We start from the raw sequence: 18331 nt of genomic DNA, 5'->3' as shown, positions 1-18331 counted from the left end.
TATAGCCATAAGCCCAAAGAACTATATTATAACTTTCTCTTTTCCTGATGTTGTATCCCCATTATTTGGATCTAAATTAGAGCCCAAATTGTGGGGGCCCTGGTCCCAAATAAATATTGACTTGATCTCTAGTAGCAGCCCAGAATTCTTGAGTTTGATGAGTGGATTGGTATGTTTCTCAGCCTTGTAATGCTGGACAGCCAATTCATGCAAACACTAAAATGCCTGCTATTTTAGGAGATACCCTAAAATAGAAAACAGAATGGGTCTTTGGGATAACGTTCCCCCCACCTTTTAGTATATTAAATATAAATTGTTTTTAATGAAAGAATCATTTTATGTTTAATCCCTTGCTGCTCAAAATATGATCCACAGTTCATCAGTATTGGTATCGCCTTGAAGCTTGTTTGAAAATGCACTATTTTAGCCCCACCCCAGACCTACTAAATCAGGATCTACAGTTCAATAAAGAGTCTCAAGTAAATGTATGTGTACATTCAAGTTTGAGCAGTACTGTTTTAATCCTTCCAAATATTCTTTGTCAAGTAATTGAACTGTGACTTGGATTTGATTTTTATTTCATAGAAATAGAAGGGGATGAGAATATAGTCACTATGTAATACAATTTTTTATGTAGTATTGTGCAATAAATATAGGTTTTTTTCTATAGCTAGAGAAGCAAGTACATAGGCATTTATTTTTCCGTAGTGAAGTTTTAAAATACTCTGGCTGTTTTTTAATATATAAGAGATGATAAAATGATTTTATATGAGGGATGAGAAAGTTTTTTTTTTTAAAAAACAGCTTTTAAAAACATTGACTAGGTACTGGAGAACGGGCTTTCAAAAGTATGGGCATGTATTTTGTAGTGTGAGTGAATGTAATGAAAATCTTCAAACATCTTTCTTCAACATGGTGGTGAGATAATGTCAAATCTTTAAGACCGCAACATTGTTCCAAGGTTGCAAAATGCATCTTCTAGTTTCATTGTCTTTTATTAAATTTTATAGTTTTATTTCACCAGTCTTCACTCAATTCAAATAAGCCTCACTTGCTTAGTTTTAACTGTTAAAAACAATTATAATAGAGGTCTGTGTCCTGTTTGCAATTATAATTACTGTTATAACCAAGTTTGCACAGCTAGATAATATAGTTCCACATCTCTTGCCAACAGGATTCTGAAAGTTGGGGATGGAGGTAAGAATGGCAGTAATTCCTGTTATTTTACTTTGTTACTAGCATGGGTCTTACAGCAATCTTAAAAATCTAGAATAGTGTTGCGTAATAGAAATATAATGTGAGCCACATGTGTAATTTTAAATTTCCTGGTAGCCATACTAAAAAAGTAAAAAGAAACATGACATTAACTTTAATATTTTTATTAAGCCAGTATATCTAAAACATCATTTGATGTAATTAGTATAAAACATTATTAAATGTTATTTTACTATTTTTTCATACTAAAGTTTTGAAAGCAAGTTTATGGTTTATACTTAACAACAAACTTCAATTAAGACTAACTACATTTCCAGTGCTCATAGTCACTTGCAACTAGTATCTACTAACCACATTGGACAGTGAAGATACACAGCTTTTTGGAACAGGAGTGGCTTAAAAGCCTTCATTTCTAGGAATCTGTTGAACACCTCTGGCCTTCATTTCTAGGAATCTGTTGAACACCTCTTATTCTCCCTTCTCATTCTTCATTTATTTCTGTCTAGGTCCCAGGTTTTCTTGCATTAGGATTAGTTTCCCTTTTTTTCTTTCTTCTTCTCTCTTCAGTTTCCTTGTTTTCTGTTGGTCTAAATTTCCCCCACAGTATTTCACTAAGTTATTCGCTCCACCTCCTCTCTCTTTCTTGATTTGTGCTCCCCCACTCTCTTCTGCCCTTTCTCCTTCTCATCCCTTCTCTACTTCTTCCTTTCGCCCCTTCATCTTCTCACTCTTTTCTTCACCCTTCCTTGTCACCTTTCTCTTCCTCCCTCTTTTCTCAGTTCCCTCTCCCCCCTTCTCTGTTCCCCCTCTCCTTCCTTTTCTCCGTTGTACCACTGTAGAGTATGCAGTGTATCTCTGTAATGAAGGCTCTAAACTTTTTGTACTTTTTGTCTTGTTTGTTTTTTGTTTTACCATATCCTTTTTAAAATGATTTTCATATATCCCTCTGGCCTTGGTGCAAGCTTTGTAGCAGCCCCTTTCTTTGCTATGTTGCCATGATTTTAAAATCCTGATAGCCAAACTTATTAGAATTTGTCTATTCTAAGAGTGAGTACGCCCTGAGTCAGGATCTTAGGGGCTGTCCCATGAATAAAGTCCATGAACTTTGGACTTCATAAAATCTATTTTGGCTGCTTAGTGATGTGCTGGGAAAAGCATGAGCTTTAGATGAAACAGATGGAGACTTGCAGCCCAACTGTGATTAACTGTCAGGGCAATCTTAGGCAGATTTCTTTACTCAGAGGTAATCTTGCTTTCTGTAGAGGCAAGGTCTCAGTCTAGTGCCTGACACATAATATGTGCTCTGTAATAGGTAGTGCCTTGATTCAACCTCATGTTTGGTTTTTGTGTTTTGTGTTTTTTTGTTTTTTGTCACTTCTCTAGTTTTTTAGCTGACTGTAAGATGGTGAGTCTGCTTAATAGTTTGAGTTGTCAGTTGGTAAACTATTACTGTAAATCAGGGTTCTTCAATGCTGGCATTACTAACAAATTGAGCCAGATGATTATTTGTTTTGAGAAGCTGCTGTGTGTATTTTAGGGTGTTCAGCACTGCCCCGGCCTCTACCTACTAGATGCCAGTAGCACCCCCACCCCAAACCAGTTGTGACAAGCAGAAATGTCTCCAGATATTGCCAAATGTTCCCTGGGAGACAAAATTGCCCCCCATTAAGGACCATTTCTGTAAATAAATGTGTGTGTAGATTTTATTATAAAATTTATTCAAATATGCAGCACAGAACACTGAATTTAATTGTACTGTGTCTTGAATTCCATTTGTTAGAGACCTGGGTTTATAAATATTTAGGTAACTAGTATTCCTATAAAACCTGTAAATTCATTCATTTGCTTATTGAGTAAAATTTAGGAATTCTCAGCAATTTCTGAGAATAGCTCTATAGAATAAGAAAATAAGAAAAATAATTATGATGCCAGGACTAGTGGAGTTTGTTTGCTACCCTCTTCTGTGTTTCCATTATTTGATAGATATGCCTACTAAATTTTATCTATTTTATTATTTATTGTGGGTTGCTCTGTTACTAAACTGAGTTTCTCAAACACAAAAAAATACGTAGTATTTATTTTTCCACCCTCATATCCCTCTCTACTCAAAAGCGTGTCACATAATATGTGTTTAATTAATGGTATTATATTAGATTGGGAAGATGATGCATTTTAAATATGAGTTTTTGTTTTTACTGGCATTTGTTTTGTTGTTAAGTATAAGCCTGTTAGGATTAAGTTATCTTAATAGAACAGTGACATTAAAATGTTGTATAGGGTGAACTTCAGCTTCAAAACTAAACTTCCTTTTAAGGTATAAAGAAACGGAGCTAGTGATGTGATCCTTTAACCATGTGAATGTCACACACCCATGCTTGCCTTCTGACATCATCTCACTGGATAAAGTAATGTGTATAACAGACTGCTGATGAGTATAATCTTAGTATTCTATTTTTATAACTGACAACATGCTCATAATCTAAAGACCTGCTTTTTAAAGATGAAAATATTTTAGCTCGTTTATATCTTAAAAGTTCTCTTTTCCTATATTTAATCTCATATATTTATATTAAAAGCTTTAAAAGAATATTTATTTTGTTCTGCTTTTTAAAAACTTTAAGGTATTATAAGCTGAGTAAAAAAAATTAAAATGGTACAGAAGAATATATGATAAAAAGTGAAATTCTTCCCTTTCATACCCTTCCCACCCACCTCCCTGTTCTGACAGAAATACCACTCTCCAGAGGTAACCACTAGAAAGTATCCTTTTCTGGTATAATTATAAATGTGTATGTGTATTTTCTTGGGAATTGTGAGATTTAAATGAGCAAAATAAAATGAAGTGTTTACTATCATGCTCAGTTTATTTGCCATTTATTATACAGTTATACGTAATTTATTTACCATTATTACACAGGGTATGGTAAAGGAATGCATCGTTAGGTGATTTCATCATTTTGTGAACATCATAGAGTGTACTTACACAATCCTTGATGGTGTAGTGTACTACATATCCAGGCTATGTGGTATAGTCTGTTGCTCTTAGGCTATGAACATGTACAGCATATTAGTGTACTGAATACTGTAGGCAGTTTTAACACAATGGTAAGTGTCTAAACATAGAAAAGATACAGTAAAAATATAGTATTATAATCTTATGGGACTACAATTCTACATGTGATCCATCATTGACTGAAAAGTTGTTATGCAGTGCATGACTGTAGATGTATATGCAAAAAGGTATTTTTTAAATGACAGCATGATATGTGTATATAAATGTGTATGTGTGTATATATATCTTTGTATGTAAATGTGTATTGACTTGCAGTTTGCTGCTTTCCACATCCCAATATATCATAGCATGCTTTCCTTTTCTATACATGTCAATCTACTTTTTTTGTAGCTCTGTGTGTGTGTGTTTGTGTCTAAATTGCCATGTAAAAGACTGTGCCATGGAATTCTAGTATGTGAGATAACATTTTTTAAAATTAGGGTTGTTGTTTCTTTTGCTTATTTACAACTATTTAACCTTCAGAGTAATACAAGTAAAATGGGAGTAGCATTTAGAACTACCTAGTTTTAACTAGTCATTACATTTTTTAAAACTTGATCATTTTAATAAACAGACAAATTTTTAATACTTGGAGATAATATACAGTTCTGTTGTAACTTTGACAGGATATAATTGTTTATAGCCCTTTTTGAATATTTTAGTATTTGTGTAAGAAAGTCATGTAGATTTATTATAACAAATAACTGATTCACTGATGATGGACATGGATTTTAATAGTCAAACCAGTGACATTATCAAAATCTTTAACCCGTCTTAAAATAAGATTTGTATAATAGTATTTGTTTTGCTTTTATAAAAATGTTAAGTTTAACGTGTTATACTCATAAAATAATTGTGGACTTAAGATACTGAAAGTTTAACTTGTTTATAAGTAATAAATTCAACAAACTTAATTCATCTTAGCTAAAATATAAAGAAATTTTTTGTGTACATAATTAGGAATATCAAATGTTGGATCCTAATTTCAGACAAGACAACCCAGGGGTTGAGACACTGTCAATTACATGCTGCCACTCTATTTTTCATTCCTGTTTTCTTTCAGGTTGTCTTCATTCTCAGATAAACACTTTCCATGGGACTAAGATAAAATACATCATCCTTAATACTTCTAGTCTTGAAAAGCAGAGAGTAACCCTCTCTTAGCATCTTTGTATATGAACTCTGATGTTATTTGGTCAGGTTTAGCTAGGCGTTGTGACTGATAGCCAATTAAAAAAAATGCATGGATGGCATGGGGAGTGCCAAACCCAATGAAAAGTGTGGTGTCTAATAATTTAGCATTTTATGTGACTGTAAACGCTAATTCTTAACATTTTGTAAAGTCTTTAACAATTTCTAAACATAGTCAATGATTTGTTCTTAATATATAATAACAAGCCTATATAATAGGGTAGTCAGAATTACATTTTAATGACTTACATTAATACAGGAGATAGGATGTCAACAGTAACGGCAAAAATAGTAGTGACGAAACTGCTACCTAATTGTTGAAGATTAATTAGCAACTTGATTATTAGTAGAGGCTTCGCAGGATGTCCATGTTTTAACTCACTCTATGTTCTTCTATTTCTTCTTGTATCTTTCATAGTATATTAGTCCATTCTCATACTGCTGCAAAGAACTGCCCGAGACTGGGTAATTTATAAAGGAAAGATGTTTAATTGACTCACAGTTCCACAGGGCTGGGGACACCTAAGGAAACTTACAATCATGGTGGAAAGGGAAGCAAACATGTCCTTCTTCACATGGCGGCAGGAGAGATAAATGAGTGTTGAGTGAAGGGGGAAGGCAGCTCCTTATAAAACCACTGATAGTTCTCTCAGAGGACTTTTTAAGGGGGAAGGAAGTCCCTTATAAAAGCGGTGATAGTGAGTGAGTTCTCTCAGATCTCATGAGAACTTACTCGCTATCACGAGAACAGCATGGAGGAAATCACCCCCATGATTCAAGTATTTTCACGTGATCCCACCCTTGACACATGGGGATTATTACAATTCAAGGTGAGATTTGGGTGGGAACACAGAGCCAAACCTTATAATTCTGCCCTGGCCCCTCCCAAATCTCATGTCCTCACATTTCAAAACACAAATGTGCCCTTTCAACAGTCCCCCAAAGTCTTAACTCTTTCCAGCATTAACCCAAAAGTCCAAGTCCAAAGTTTCATTGGAGACAAGGCAAGTCCCTTCCGCCTATGAGCCTGTAAAATCAAAAGCAAGTTAGTTACTTCCTAGATACAATGAGGGTACAGGCATTGGGTAAATACACCCATTCCAAAGGGGAGAAATTGGCCAAAACAAAAGAGCTACAGGCCCCATGCAAGTCCAAAACCCAATATGGCAGTCATTAAACCTTCAAGTTCCAAAATGATCTCCCTTGACTCCATGTGTCACATCCAGGTCACACTGATGCAAGAAGTGAGCTCCCACAGCCTTGGGCAGCTCCACCTCTATGGCTTTGCAGGATACAGCACCCCCTCCTGACTGCTTTCATGGGCTGGAATTGAGTGCCTGTGGCTTTTCCAGGCGCCCAGTGCAAGCTGTCGGTGGATCTCCCATTCTGGGGTCTGGAGGATAGTGGCCCTCTTCTCACAGCTCCACTAGGCAGTACCCAGTGGGGACTTTGTGTGGGGGCTCCAACCCCACATTTCCCTTCCACAGTGTCCTAGCAGAAGTTCTCCATGAGAGCTACACCCCTGCAGCAAACTTCTGCCTGGACATGCAAGCATTTTCATACACCGTCTGAAATCTAGATGGAGGTTCCCAAACCTCAATTCTTGACTTCTGTGCACCCACAGGCCCAACACCATGTGTAAATTGCCAAGGCTTGGGGCTTGCACCATCTGAAGCAACAGCCTGAGCTCTGTCTTGGCCCCTTTTAGCCACGGCTGGGATACAGGGCACTAAAGACTACACAAAGCAGCAAGTCCCTGGGCCCTGACCAGGAAACCACTTTTTCCTCCTAGGCCTCTGGGCCTGTGATGGGAGGGGCTGCCATGAAGATCTCTGACATGCCTTGGAGACATTTTTCCCTATTGTCTTGGTGATTAACATTCAGATCCTTGTTACTTATGCAAATTTCTGTGGCCAGCTTGAATTTCTCCTCAGAAAATGGGTTTTTCTTTTCTGTTGCATCATCAGGCTGCAAATTTTCCAAACTTTTATGCTCTGCTTCACTTTTAAACATAAGTTCCAATTCCAGATTGTATCTTTGTGAATATATAAAACTGAATGTTTTAAAGAGCACCCAAGTCACCTCTTGAATGCTTTGCTGCTTAGAAATTTTTTCCACCAGATACCCTAAATCATTTCTCTCAAGTTCAGAGTTCCACAGATTTCTAGTGCAGTGGCAAAATGCTGTCAGTCTCTTTGTTAAAGCATAGCAAGTATCACCTTTATTCCAGTTCCCAACAAGTTCCTCATCTCCATCTCAGACCATCTTAGCCTGGACTTCATTGTCCATATCACTATCAGCAATTTGGTCAAAGCCATTCAACAGGTCTATAGGACGTTCCAAGCTTTCCCACATTTTCCTCTGTCTTCTGAGCCCTCTAACTGTTCCAGCCTCTGCCTGTTACCCAGTTCCAAAGTCACTTCCACATGTCGTGTATCTTTACAGCAGTGCCCCACTCTCTGTGGTAGCAGTTTACTGTGTTAGTCTGTTCTCACAGTGCTATAAAGAACTGCCTGAGATTGGATAATCTATAAAGGAAAGAGGTTTAATTGACTTACAGTTCTGCATGGCTGGGGAGACCTCAGGGAACTTACAATCATGGCGGAAGGGGAATCAAACACATCCTTCTTCACATGGCAGCAGGAGGGAAAATGAGTGCCTAGAAAAGGGGGAAGCCTCTCATAAAACCATCAGATCTCGTGAGAACTCACTGTCAGACGAGATTGGGTGTGTTCAGGGTGATATGGTCATAGATGGAACTCACTTTCACATGAAGAGCATGGTGGAAACTGCTCCCATGATTCAGTTATCTCCACCTGGTCCTGCCCTTGACACGTGGGGATTATTAGAATTCAAGGTGAGATTTTGGTGGGGACACAGAGCCAAACCATATCACATAGAAAAAGAGCTAAACAGTTTAATGTGTACTTTAGGGTTTGGTTATTTAAATTAGGAGATAACTAGTAAGGTAGTCATCACAAGAAGTTTGTATCAAAGTCATTCTTATTCATAATATTTTGAGATTTATATATGAATTCTTAGTGATTAGCAGTGAAAGTATAATATTTCTTTGATAATCCAAAATTTAGAATTCTATTACTATCTTCTTTCCTATTCCCAATATATATGTGAATTTATTTACACATAGAAAGTTTAATCACTGCTCGGGATAATTCTAATTCAAAAGGTTTTTCATTTAAGACTGATTAAAGCCCTCTTCTACAGTCCTGGAAACAACCTGAAGGCATTTAACCATTATTGAATGGTTAAATGGTTAAATTTAACCATTATTGAATTCCATTTACTATGTCTGGAAAATAGGCACTAATTAATAACAAATATATTGTGTTTCTGCCATAATTGTTCTTTTTAGTTATTTATGATTTTCCAGTTTCCAGCTGATTCAGCATCTTTCTCAAAAACTTTTCTTGCATTTGAGATGCATTGACATTAATAATCAGAAAATGACACACCTCTCTAAACACTTTTTAAATGGTGCGTGTTTGTTTTTTAAGATTATAATACCTTTGAATTTTGTTTAACTTTTTCACTAAAACTGCTAACTCTAGGAAATGTTAAGTGATAAATGGTCATATATTTTTCTCGTCTGAGAAGGTAGATAATTTGAAAATTGTGTTCTCTGAATCTATAGTTTTCTACAAGGTTGACTGGCAAGTATGAAAAATATAATGCAGGAAATGAGAGTCAAGTACACACTTAGGGGAAAAACCAACCTTTTAAAGGACAAGACTTTGTATATTTGTAGAATTTTACAACCTTTCATTTTATTAACATTCATTATTACTGTAGCAGAGGAATGGAAATACTCCCTTTTTAAGCAGTTGAGTTGATATGTGTAAATTATAATTTAAGAAAGTAACATTTTTTCCCAGTTTGAAAGCACAATATTTTGTATGTTGATATAAACAAATTCTAACCTTAATTTTTCTATATTATATATATTTGAATATTCCCAAGGATGAAGTAATGATAACACTGTAAGCTGACCATATTTTTCTTTCTTACTCATGTATGGTACCACATAGTGATAATGCTAGTATTCTGAAATATGTGAGAAATCTTTAAAATAATAAATTATTTTAAGGAGTGAAAGTGCAGTTTTTTATATTTTAATTCTTTGAAATGGGCAGTTTTTTTTTAATGGTATATTTTTAGTTAGCAGTTCTGGAGAAAACAATAGTTAAATTTTCTTATTTGTTTTATGTATATATATAGCCAGGGTGCAGTTCTCCAGATTCTTGATGCCACATTTGAGGCTGGAGAAATGAAATAAGATGGTAATGTTCAATTGTTTTTTACTTCCCCTAACCCCCAACCCTGTGTAAATAATTTCAATACAAAATTATAGTAATATTTTTCATAGTGGGCTCTGGCGTCAAACTGGTTTGATCTGATTTCCAGCTTTACCACTTAATTAGGCTTTGTGGCCTTAGGAAGTCATATTAACCTCTCTAAGCCTCAGTTGTTTTCATTTACAGAAGTACTACCAGGGTTGAGAAGATTACCAGTCAATAATTGTTACTTCTGTGTGTATTCATCAATACTATATATAAAACTATTCCTAGATGGTGTGATACATGTTTAATTGTGAACATTTATAAAATACACAAAAACGCAGAGGAGTTGTTGTTAAAAAAATTTTTGGTGTTAAAATTTTGATGTATATCCTTTTTTTTTAAAGTGTGTTTTTAAGAAATATGTCTTACAGAATCTTTTCCCCATTTAGCAATAGATTCTGCATATTTTTCTTATGATTGTATATTACAGTATTTTAATGGCCTCATGAAGTTCCTCCTTTATAAACATTTTATTCCCATTTCTTTAATGTTATAAATAATGTCATAAGCATCTTGTACTTGAACCTACTTTATATTAGTAAAATAATTTAAAATACATAAATCTCCAAAAGTGGATCTTGATCCTAGTGCATTTTTCCAATTTATTTTATAAAATATTTTCAGTTTTCAATCCCATTACCAGTATATAATAATATTTAAAATAATATTTTACAATATATTTAAAAACTATTATAGTAATATACAATATTTAAAACTATTTTCTGAAATATTTACAATAATAAAATAATATACAATAATATTTAAAACAATATTTTGCCATTTTTGTGAGTTGTAAGTAGAACTTTGCAATTCATTTGATTTGGGTTTTAGGAAAAATGAATATATGTCATATTTATTTGTCAATTATATTTCTTCAGTAAATTCCTTGTACATTTTCTTTGCCTGTTCTTCTTTGGGGTCCTGAGAAGTTTTTCCTCAATTTGTTTCAACCTTTTACATTATAAGGATCTGTATTAGTTTGCTAGGTGAGGATGGAATGCTGTGAGCTGAATTGTGTCTCGTCAAAATTCGTATGTTGAATTTCTAACCTCCAATACCTCAGAATGTGACTGTATTTGGAGATAGGGCCTTTGAAAAAGATAATTAAAGAAAAATGTGGTCATATGGGTGGGTGGGCCTAATCTAATATAATCTCTTATAAAAAGTGTAGATTAGGAGACAGACATACACATAGGAAGATATAGAAAATAGCCATATGTAAGGCAAGGAGAGAGACTTTAAAAAAACAACAACCCTGCCAACACCTTGATCTTAGATTTCTGGCCTCCAGAGTTATGAAAAAGTACATTTCTGTTGTTTAAGCCACCCAGTCTGTGACATATGTTATAGTAGCCCTAGCAAACTACATACAGTGCCTTAACCTTTTTCTTACCATATTTGTTGCAAATATTTTTTACTAACACATTGTCACTTTTAATTTTAGGTATATGGTTGGTTTTTTAGAGGTATAGAAGTTTTATCTCAAAACTTAGAAAATTTTATGTTATTTTAAATATGTATGTATAAAAACGCATTCTCTTAAATTTGTAACTACTTTCAACACTGTACAAGACAGTAAAAACAAAAGAAAAACATACTCTTTGAAAGTCTGAGGCCTCTTTGTTCGTCATATCAGAATTTTAAGGAATACCAGTATTGTAATATCAGCAGTGTTGCAATATCTGATAGCAGCTATTCTAGTCCTGTCTCCTACCCTATTCTGTTTGGGACCCCCTCCCCTCCCCTCCTCTCCTCTCCCCTCCTCTCCCCTCCTCTCCCCTCCTCTCCCCTCCTCTCCCCTCCTCTCCCCTCCTCTCCCCTCCTCTCCCTTCCCCTTCCCTCCCCTTATTTCCTCTAAAGAAAAAATTGGACAGGAAATTTTTACAGTTATCCTACCAATAGGGTAGTGAACTTTTATCAGCTTTTTCTTAGGGTCCATGCTTCTCGTGGATGTGATGTGATATGTTGATCACTTTGGTTGCTTTATACTGTATGGTTACAATGTTTATAACTTCATACTGAGAAAGAATATTAGCACTTTGGAGACCCTTCTTGGTCTTCAGTGTTAAATAAATGATTTATCTTCTCTTTAATCCATTTCAGTTAGCCGCAATAAATCAATTAAGGACATTATATGTAACTTTTAGGTAAAAGTCAATTCTCCAGACTCATATCTAGATTAAACTGGCATATATTCATCCAGGTGGGATCCATAAAGGTAGTATTAGACCACCGCTCTCAATGAAAACTAGGAAAACCTGTTTGAAGGCAGCAGGAAGCTGCTCGGGCAACAATAAGTGCAGACACCAACCTTTCAGAAAAGAGAGAATCTTGTACAAATAAGCTGCTTCAACAACTTTTTCCCAGGGGACACTTGCTGATGTTAAGTATGGGCAGGAAACGGGATTCAAGCATTAGGCCCAGAAATACTGTTGCCGAAAGTCAAAAAACAGCACAGAGGTTTTGGTGGAGTCCTACCTAGATGCATCAAGCATGAGGAGATTCTCCCCTCAGTTCAGTTGTTTAATCCTGGGGCTACCTGGGATGAGAAACTTAAAACCTAAGTAGAAAATCTTTGAAAATCAGGAATGGAGTTTGCAGGACAAAAATTAAATTTTTCATCCTCCTTGGACTAGTTTTCTTAACAATAAGCTTTCAGTTGAAACTTCAGGTGGCAGGGAAAAAGCAGAGGTAGGCCTGGTCTTACCAGGGCAACCACCTAACGTGGACTCAACACCATCTAGTGGTTTAACAGAAAGAAGGCTGAACCTTCTGTGGAGACAGATAACACCATCAAATCTTTGCAAGTTTTTATATACAATCAAAGACTAAGGAGCTACCAAAGGACAGGATTACATGACTAGAACAAAAGGGAAAACAGTTAATAACAGATCCAGAGATGATCCACATCATTCAGGTTTATTAGATGAAACCTATTTTCAGTAACAACTATGTCATGAACATAGAGGACGTATGGAGAAAATTGATGTGAAATGAAGAATTTCATTAGCACATTGGAATGGCTAAAAGGATTAAATGGAAATTCAAGAAGGGAATAATACAGTATCTACATTTAAAAACTCATTAGATACATGTAATAGAAGATTAGACACATCAGAAAACAGGTTATAGAAAATATTCAACTGAAGCATTGAGATAAAATGGAAAAAAAAAAAAAGAGGATTTACGGATTTGTGATACACATGAGAAGATCTGGCATACATTTAATTGAATTACCAGAAGGAGAGTTTGGACAGAAGTAGTTTTGAAAATATATTGTATAGAATTTTTCAAAACTGCAGAAGTAGATCAACCCAGAGATTTAGGAAGTTTTGTTTACCCTAAGCAGGATAGCTACAAAGGAAACCACACCTAGAAACATTGTAATAAGATTGCTGGAAACCAAAGATAAGGAAAGATGTCTTTAAAAGAGTCTGAGTGAGAGGCCGGGCGCTGTGGCTCATGCCCATAATCCCAGCACTTTGGGAGGCCAAGGCGGGCGGATCACCTGAGGTCGGGAGTTTGAGACCAGCCTGACCAACATGGAGAAACCCTGTCTCTACTAAAAATACAAAATTAGCTGGGCGTGGTGGCACATGCCTGTAATCCCAGCTACTAGGGAGGCTGAAGCAGGGGAATCGCTTGAACGTGGGAGGCGGAGGTTGCGGTGAGCTGAGATTGCACCATTGCGCTCCAGTCTGGGCAACAAGAATGAAACTCCATCTCAAAAAAAAAAAAAAAAAAAAAAGAGTCTGAGAGGCCCAGTGCGGTGGCTCACGCCTGTAATCCCAGCACTTCAGGAGGCTTAGGCAGGCAGATCGTGGATCACCTAAGGTCAGGAGTTCGAGACCAGCCTGGCCAACATGGTGAAACTCCGTCTGTACTAAAAATACAAAAATTAGCTGGGCGTGGTGGCAGGCACCTGTAATCCCAGCTACTCGGAGGGCTGAGGCGGGAGAATCACTTGAACCCGGGAGGCAGAGGTTGCAGTGATCTCAGATCAGGCCACTGCACTCCAGCCTGGGTGACAGAGTGAGACTCCGTCTCAAAAAAAAAAAAAGAGTTTGAGAAATAAATGACATGACTTTCAAAAGAGTCAACAATAAGACTGATGGCAGACTTCACAACTGAAATAGTGGAGGCCATCTTGAAACTGTTGGAGGAAAATAGCAGCTAACCTAAACTTCTAAATATCCAGCAAAATATTCTTCAAACTTCAATGTAAAAAAAAAAATTATTTCCAGAGAAATAAAAACCAAGAAAATCATTACCAGCAACCTGGTCTAAAATTAAAACACTAACAGAACAAGTCAACAGCAACAACAGAGTTCTTCAGGTAAAAGGAAGATATCCCAATAAGGAACCATCAAAATGATGAATAATAAAAAGGGTAAATATGTGAATAAATATAAACTGATATTGACTAAATACTGTTAAAACCCATTAACAGTAATACGGTATAGTTTTTAAAAGATAGAAAAAACAATTGTAAAGTGAAATGTGAGGGGAGAAAGTGAAATTAAAGTGTGAGATTCTGGCATTGAGGACATTGTGAAGTGATACTTTTTGTTAGATAAGTCAACAATGCATGTTGTAATCTTAATAGTAGCCACTAAAAGAACCATTTTTAAAACAGTAAATTATTGAGAAGGAAAATGGAATAATAGAAAACAAATGATTTTTTAAAAGGCAGGAAAGATAAAAGATTAAAGAAACTTAAAACTGGCAGGTCAAATGAGAAATAGATGATACAAATAAAGCTGCTGATTTGAACAGTAAAATCATATTTTTCAAAATATTATTCCATAAAAATACCTTATTTTCCAGTGTAAATATATAATGTATATAAATATGTGAAAATATACAACACATAAATGCACACTTATTTTGTTTTTCTGACAGCTTCTTTGTGATATTGGCCACAGTGAAGAAAAACTGGGCTTTCACTATGAGGATATCATAATTTGGTAAGTGTGGTTCATTCCCCCCTCCCATCCCTTTCAGATTTTAGTAATTTTAATTTTAGTAATTTTAAACTAGAAATAGAATAATACAGCACCTCATATTTGATTTTATAGAAATAGTTGCTTGAACATTAGAAAAAATCTAAGAGCTACAGTAGTTTTGTTTTTGTGAGTCTTTGTGATATTTTCTAATTACTAAATATGAAGAACCAAAGTGAATGTTCAAAAATATCTGGACTTCTATAATTTAAACTTTTAAATTAAATCTGAAATTTGCAGACTAAATTTCTCATATTATTCCCAGGAACAACTATAACTCTAGGTCTTACCTAAGAGAAAGTTTGTGCTTACAACAGACTTGATTTGCCCATGCACACTAATAGAGGCATGTTATATGGCTTTATAACTATCTTTTAGGTACTCTTAGGAATTAAAATTGATATAAAAGGTCTGTGCCTGCTATTGGCATAAATTATTATTATCATTGATTTAAACCAATGATTTTTGGGAGGTATGGAACCAGGTAGGCAGAGAGAGGATATTCGATTGTAGAGACACAAATGGTACAGCTTGAAAAAGGCTGTACCATTGTTTATATAAAACAAAGGCTGTTTCCATTGTTTATATAAAATAAAGTACAGAAGGTAAGAAAGAACTCAATAACATTTTCTTGATTGGTAAGAATGTACTAAGGAGGCACAGATTTAAAAAAACAACACTAAGTGAAATTGTGTGGCTTGGAGTGAGTAATTTTTATATATGTAGAATGCTCTTAGAATTCTGTGCATGACTAGAATTTTTGCATATTTTGGCTGAGGAATAATTTGGTAATATAATTTTGTGTGTATTTGAAACCTGTGCAGCAAAACTTGTATTTTGTTTGTTTTCATACAGTTTGCGGTTAGCTTTATTAAATGAAGCAAAAGAAGTGCGAGCAGCAGGGCTACGAGCGCTTCGATATCTCATCCAAGACTCCAGTATTCTCCAGAAGGTGCTAAAATTGAAAGTGGACTATTTAATAGCTAGGTAAATTTCCTAGACTTGTTTATATATTTTTGAAATTTTGTGTTGAGTTTTTAGCATGCCTGCCATAAAGTGTATAGATTTGTACTGTAGTGTAACTTTGATGAATTTTGTGTGTGTGTATATATATATATATACACACACACACACACACAACCAAGTAACAAGATTTAGAACATTTTCAGCATCCCAGTAAAGCTCTGTTACATCTCCAATCAGTTGTAAACATTATTCTGACTTTTCCCATTGCAGACTAGTTTTTCCTGTTCTTGAGCATTGTGTGTTGGACGTATACAGTAATTACTCTTTCTTCTTCTCATTATTATCTTTGAGATTCATACATGTTGATTTTTTTTTTTTTTTTTTTTGCTGTGTAACATTTCATTTTATAAATAGACCACAATTTATTCCATTCTGTTGAAGCTTTTCTGGGTTGTTTTCAGTGTTTGACTATTTGGAATAAAGCTGCCCTGAATGTTCTTGTAGAAGGCTGCAAGAATATTCTTATAGAAGAGGAAATGCACTCATTTCTCTTAGGTATATGTAGAACTAGAATTTCTGGGTTATAAGGTACATGTATGTTTAGCTTTAGTAGATATTGCTAAATAGTTTGCTAAATGATTGCACTGATTATACTTCTACTATTATGTATAGGAGTTTCAGTCTCCCCGTGTCCCCATCAACACTTGCTATTTTCAGTTTTTAGTTATATCCTTTCTTGTGTGGGGTCTCATTGTGGTTTTAACTTGTGTTCCCCGGTGAGTGATGATGTTAGGCACTTTTCATTTGCTGGTTGAAAGTTTGGATAGCCTATCTTTTGCTCATTTGTAAATTGGATTATCTTTCTTGTTATGTAGGAATTCTTGATGTATTCTGGATATGAGTCTTTACAGATATATGTATTGAAAATGTCTTGTTTCAGTTTGCCTTGCCTTTGCCTTGCCTCTTCATTCTTTTAATGGGTCTTTGATGAACAAAAGTTCATAATTAGTGAAATCCAGAATGCTTTTTGTCTATTTGGAAGAGATCTGTGTTTTCTTTTAAAGGTTTTATTCCTTTATACGTGTTTAAGTCTTTGAACCATCTTACTTGATTTGATCTCATTTGATGGTTGTGTAAGATATGAGATAGATGGCAAGTCATGATTCATTTTTATCTTTATGAATATCCAATAAAATTAGCACCTTTTATTGAAAATATTTTCGTTTCACGTCTAGATTTGTGTCACCTTTGTTGTAAATCAGGTAGTTCAGTAGCAATCTATTGTTGGGTTCTCTATCCTCTTTAGTTGGTATATTTGTCCTTGCACCAGTTTCTCAACTGTTTTAACTACTGCAGTTCTATAATGTTTTGATATCTGTTAATGTGAGTCTAATTTTGCTTCTTCAAGACTATTTTGACTAATCTGGGTTCTGCATTTTCATCTAAGTTTTAGAATAAGATAGTCCATATCCACATAACTTGCTGGGATTTTAGCAGGGATTGCATTGATGCTCTAGATTAATTTGGGGTGAATTTACATCTTCATACTGAATTTTCTAAACATTTATTTATTGGAAACTTTGATTTCTGTCAACAGTATTTAGTAGTGTGTGTTTGTTTGTTTTTTGCAGAAGTCCTGAACATATTTATTCAGTTTATTCTAAGATATTTTTCTGATAGTATTAATGTAATTTAAAACATTCTTTTCTGTTTTTGCTACTAATATATAAAAAAATTGGGGGGAGATATTGACCTGTTGGAGATATTGACCTCTTATTTAACAGTTTTGCCAAATTCACTTTTCAGTTCTGGTTGTTTGTAGATTACTTTGGATTTTCTATGTGTATAAGCATTAATTACAGATGATGTCCATTTTATATCTTCCTTTCCAATCTTTATCTTTTTCTTACCTTACTACATGAGTTAGAATATTGCACTGAATAGGAATGATAATAATGGACAAGTTTGTTTCGATCTTGAACTCAGGTGGAAAGCATTAAGTATTTCACCATTATTTATACTTTCTATAAGCTTTTACTAGATTTTCTTTATATTCCTAGTTTGCATTCTTTAAATAAACACCACTATTTGTGATATATTGTTCTCTTTATATGTAACTTAATTTCCTTGCTAATATTTTATAGATTTTTGCACCTATGTTCATGAGAGTTGTTGACCATTATTTTTCCATTCATCTAAAGTCTTTGTCTGGTTTTAGTATTGGGAGTATGTATGTTTGTTTTATAAAACAACTAGGGAAATATGGCCTTGTTTTCATATTACCTGGAAAATATATGTAAGATATGTATTTTTTTTTGTCCTACATGATTATAATTCATTAATGGATCTCTCTGGCTGGGTTTTCTTTTTCAGCCTGTTTTAAAATTATAGACTCAATTATTTTTCACCCATATAATGCTTCCTGACTTTTCTTTTTCTTGTTTCAGATTTTGAAGCTTTGTTGTTACTTCATGTTTAGAACTGCTAAATCTTCTTATTGGGCTTAATCCTTTTATAATTATAAAATAACCCTCTTTATTCCTAGT

At 34.7% G+C, this 18331-nt stretch overlaps 1 protein-coding gene across 11 annotated transcripts in view, besides 1 other annotated feature; it reads left to right on the top strand.

The window, feature by feature from the left end:
- RICTOR (RPTOR independent companion of MTOR complex 2) overlaps positions 1-18331 on the top strand; it is a 136480-nt gene that overhangs the window by 56059 nt on the left and 62090 nt on the right. For 10 of the 11 annotated variants that reach the window (NM_001438249.1, NM_001438049.1, NM_001438247.1 and 7 more), the window contains 2 exons: positions 14719-14783; positions 15675-15806. In NM_001438249.1, coding sequence (NP_001425178.1) covers positions 14719-14783; positions 15675-15806 — 197 coding nt within the window. Of the gene's footprint in view, positions 1-1174; positions 1198-14718; positions 14784-15674; positions 15807-18331 lie in introns of those variants that run through there. The other variant, XM_011514006.4, reaches the window with a different exon arrangement.
- Positions 6270-6476: a silencer, noted in NCBI's record as "fragment chr5:39011967-39012173 (GRCh37/hg19 assembly coordinates)". NCBI's record gives its function as "represses an EF-1alpha promoter that drives an FKBP-Casp9 reporter gene in an ReSE screen in phorbol 12-myristate 13-acetate-treated (for megakaryocytic differentiation) K562 erythroleukemia cells {active_cell/tissue: K562(+PMA)}" and the evidence as "EXISTENCE:reporter gene assay evidence [ECO:0000049][PMID:32094911]".

Source organism: Homo sapiens, chromosome 5 (assembly GCF_000001405.40).
Source record: "Homo sapiens chromosome 5, GRCh38.p14 Primary Assembly".
Taxonomy (NCBI): Eukaryota; Metazoa; Chordata; class Mammalia; order Primates; family Hominidae; genus Homo; species Homo sapiens.
Note: the sequence above shows the minus strand (reverse complement) of the source record. Positions and strands in the feature narration are given on the sequence as shown.